This window comes from Homo sapiens, chromosome 11, assembly GCF_000001405.40.
Source record: "Homo sapiens chromosome 11, GRCh38.p14 Primary Assembly".
Taxonomy (NCBI): domain Eukaryota; kingdom Metazoa; phylum Chordata; class Mammalia; order Primates; family Hominidae; genus Homo; species Homo sapiens.
The window spans coordinates 64200957-64205329 of record NC_000011.10 but is presented as its reverse complement, the minus strand read 5'-3'; the positions used below and the strand labels follow the sequence as shown (position 1 = coordinate 64205329).

At 50.2% G+C, this 4373-nt stretch overlaps 1 protein-coding gene across 3 annotated transcripts in view; it reads right to left on the bottom strand.

Annotated features, from left to right (window-relative positions):
* STIP1 (stress induced phosphoprotein 1) overlaps positions 787–4373 on the bottom strand; it is a 19272-nt gene continuing 15685 nt past the window's right edge. For all 3 annotated transcript variants that reach the window (NM_001282652.2, NM_006819.3, NM_001282653.2), the window contains exons 11-14: positions 2418–2454; positions 2102–2205; positions 1708–1880; positions 787–1276 (exon numbers count right to left, since the gene is read on the bottom strand). In NM_001282652.2, the coding sequence (NP_001269581.1) occupies positions 1204–1276; positions 1708–1880; positions 2102–2205; positions 2418–2454 (387 nt within the window). In that variant the 3' untranslated portion in view covers positions 787–1203. The remainder of the gene's footprint in view (positions 1277–1707; positions 1881–2101; positions 2206–2417; positions 2455–4373) is intronic.

Genomic DNA, 4373 nt, shown 5'->3' with positions numbered 1-4373 from the left:
GCGTGAACCCGGGAGGCAGAGCTTGCAGTGAGCTGGATCACGCCACTGCACTCCAGCCTGGGCGACAGAGAGAGACACCATCTCAAAAAATACAAACAAAAAAAACCCATCACCCAGTGGGGTGCAGTGGCTCATGCCTGTAATCCCAGCACTTTGGGAGGTTGAGGCGGGTGGATCACTTGAGGTCAGGAGTTCGAGACTAGCCTGGCCAATATGGCGAAACACCTGTCTCCACTAAAATATAATAATTAGCTGGGTGTGGTAGCAGGCTCCTGTAATCCCAGCTACTGGGGAGGCTGAGGTAGGAGAAGCGTTTGAACCCAGGAGGTGGAGGTTGCAGTGAGCCGAGATCACACCACTGCACTCCAGCCTGAGACTCCATCTCAAATAACAAAACAAAAACAATCCATGACCCAACTCCTAAATCTAACAGCAGCTAACAGCATAGCTGCCCTCTCCCCACAGAGGTCTCAGCATCTCACATTAGAATCCTGTTCTCTGGATCTCCACTATAACGTGGAGAATTAACAGCACCCAAAGCTTATCTGAACCTCTCATTGGTACTACTTGGGGTGGGGAAGCCTTCAGATTCCCTTCCAGCTGCTGAGCAACAGCGCCATCTGGCAACCTTCTTGGCAAAGCCATGGAGCTGTGCCAAGCCACAGCTTGGGACTCCTCCTAAGCCCGCCCCAAAGAGAAGAGCAAGATCAGGTTCCAGGAGCAGCCCCTGCAAGACAAACTCCTGGTTTAAAAAAAAAAAAAAAATCACTCAAGGCCAAAGCAACATATAACCACGCCCAACTGGCTTGTTTTATTGGAGAAGGGGACGCAGAATAAACAACGTGAGACAGCTGGGACCTGAGGCTGGAAGAACCCCCTCCCCTCCCCATAACATGCCCACTGCCCCAAATAAAAAAAAAACCAACTATGGGAGAGCAGCCGAGACAGCAACTAGGGGCAGGGGAAAGAGACATGGAACTCGAGGGCAGCGGTGAAGAGACCATGCGTGTGCTGGGAGGGCCCAGAGGCAGCGGCGGCACAAACAGCGCAGGTACGAGTCTCTGTGTCTTCCCCGGGGTTATGTATAAATATAGAGAGATGAGGCCTTCTCTCCCCTGCTCTCCCTTCCGCTCCGTGCTGCTCGCCGCGGTCCCAGCTCCTCTTTCCACATGAGGGCGAAGGGAAGGGGGGATGAACAAGTCATCACCGAATTGCAATCAGACCCACATCCATCAGCTTCTGGATCTTCTGTGCTATTACAGGATTCTTTAAGTGTCTACAGAGGAAGACGCAGTTACTTGAAATGAGACAACCTTTAAAGTCTTACTTGCTCTCAGAGCAAGCCCCAATTCAACCCCCTCTACAGAAGGCCCCGGCAGGGAGGGGTCCTGGCGAGGCCCGGGGCGCCGAGCTGCAGAGGCCTGCTCCACTTCGCAGAACTTGCCAGTCCTACTCTTGAGCCCACGACACAGCTTCCAGTCAAGACCTTTCTCCCAGCTAAATGGGCCTTTCCAAATGACTGCTTAAGCTATCACGACTAACAAAGCCCTTCCAGCTCGCCACCCACTGCCAATCTCCTTAAGTTTAGGAAGAATGACAGAATTCCTCTTCCTCGCAGACTGAGCATACCACCCCCCAGCCGCGTGCACTCATCTGCCTGCTTTTGTTCTCCATTTCCAGCAAGGCCGCCTCTCTGACTCTACGTACTCGCTGAGTGCCTGGGGGTCCTTCTGCATCTGTTCCAGGATAAGGCGCATGGCTGGGTCACTCATGATCTGCTGCACCTCAGGGTCGGCCATGGCTCGTCGCTTCACATCTTCGGGGCTGTCGTGCCGGTTGTACTGCGCCATCATACAGCGCTGGTAGCCGTCTGCCGCCTCCTGCAGTCCAGAAGAGACAAAGGTGAAGCGTGTTAGGACCACCCAGCTCACTGCTTCAGCAGGTCCAAGATAACAGAGGTAACTGACAAGGGGAGAGAGAACAAGTAAGAGAGAAACAGAGAGAAATGGAGGTGACAGGGAAGAAATCAGGGACTGAACATGGAAAAGCCCCAACAGAGAAAGAGGCAGGGGGGGCCCCTGGAGGCCAGAAGCAGCCCCACCTTACAGCTGGAGTCCAGGTCTAGCGCCTTCTGGTACACATCCATGGCTTTGGTGTAGTCCTTCATCGCTTCCAGCGCAGCGGCTTTCCGTGTATAACCCTTGACTACAAACAGGAAAGGTGGCGCGTTATCCAACCGCAGCGCCCAAGGCTGCTCCTTGCACCTCTTCACCTGCACACCAACACTGTTCACACCTGCTGATGTTGGATCCTAAATCCTACAGGTCCCAAGGACACACAGGTAGACAAAGGGCTTGCCCTTTCCTTCTCTAATCTTTTGGCTAGAGACAGGGGACAGGCAGCAGAAAGGCACTTACTGAAGGTCGGCTCCAGCTGGATACATTCCTCACAGTCCTAGAATGAAGCAACAGAAAGAAATTAGGCTCATTCCCTTGGACAAGCTCAGTACAGGCAACTCAAGCATGTGGACTTCCAACTCTAATGCCTCACCCAGCACCAAACAGAGGGGACAACATCAGGAAAGACAACTCCAGATGATGGATCATCCCACACAAGACAAACTGCCTGGACTCTGCAAGAGGCTGATGTTATGAAAAACACATAGCGGGGGACAATTCCAGTTTGAGAAACTGAAGAGTACATGACAACTAGACAAAATGCGTGGGCCTTGGTCCTGAGAGCTTTGGAATCCAAAACCATTGCTGACTAAAAAACAAAACAACGCTGGGTGCGGTGGCTCATGCCTGTAATCCCAGCACTCTGGAAGGCCAAGGTGGGTGGATCACCTGAGGTCAGGAGTTTGACACCAGCCTGGCCAACATGGTGAAACCCCATCTCTACTAAAAAAAAAAAAAAAAAAAAAAAAAAATTTGCTGGCCTGGTGGCTGCACCTGTAATAATCCCAGCTACTCAAGAGACTGAGGCAAGAGAATCGCTTGAATCCAGGAGGCAGAGGTTGCAGTGAGCCAAGATCACGCCATTGCACTCCAGCCTGGGCAACAAGAGTGAAACTCTGTCTCAAAAAAAAATAAAAACAAACAAACAAAAATAAAAAAACCTCAGTTTTAAAACATATTTTTGGAGAAGTGGGCAAGTCTAAGTATGGATGGACAGACGGCAGATGGCATCAGGCCTTGGTCTGGTGAGGTCGCGTGTGCTGACAGTGCTGCACTGGACAGGAGTCTTTTCAGGCAATGCGTGCACAAGACTTGGATGTCTCATTCTAAGTACCAAATGTATACAATTTCCTTTCGCAAACAGTTCAGCAAAAACAGGTCAACATTTGTCAGATAAAGGTGGAAGATACACCAGATATTCACTATGTATTCTTCTCTTTGAAACATCTTCAAAGTGAGAAATGATGAGGAAGAGAACACTATGCAGTACACTGAGCTCCCCTGGAATTAATTCCAACTCTTGCACCAAGAAGCTGGGACAGCAGCAGAAATCCCATTCATTCTTTCTCCACGCTCTCATGATCGGGAAAGTACTGCCCACCTCCCAGGTGATTGACAACCTGCTATTCTTTGCCTCACAAATCAATATGCTTTTGACATGACTCTTGCACAATCCTACTAGTAGAAATGATGTCTCTAGGCCAAGACACAGACCCAGAAGACAGTGGCACAAAATATAAAAACCAACACAAACCCAGGTATGGCTGTTTCTAGACAGGTCACACTTTGTCACCTTCCCACAATACGGTCCAGGTTTGTCAGCTAGAGAACAGTCAAAAAAAACTGCTGATAGAGGCAGGGTGGCTGAGATTCGAGAGGATTATGGGAACTCCACAGTGTCAAACAATTGTATTTGACCTAACTTGATATGACTGAGAACAGCAGACCTACCTAGCTGAGCAAAACAGAAAAGCAAGCAAGGATGGTACAGCTGCTGAAAAACATATGGTGGTTCCTCAAAAATAAAACATAGGCCGGGCGCAGTGGCTCATGCCTGTAATCCCAGCACTTTGGGAGTCCAAGGCAGGAGGCTCGCTTGAGCCCAGGAGTTTGAGACCAGCCTGGGAAAACATGGTGAAACCCTGTCTCTATAAAAAATACAAAAATTAGCTGGGTACAGTGGTGCACACCTGTAGTCCCAGCTACTCAGGAGGCTGAGGTGGGAGGATGGTTTAAGCCAGGGAAGTAGAGGTTGCAGTGAGCTGAGATTGTGCCACTGTACTCCAGCCAGCCTGGGCGATAGAGCCAGACCTTGTCTTTTTTTTTTTTTTTTTTTAAAAAAAGGGGGCCAAGCGTGGTGGTTCACGCTTGTAATCCTAGCACTTTGGGAGGCTGAGGCGGGTGGATCACCTGAAG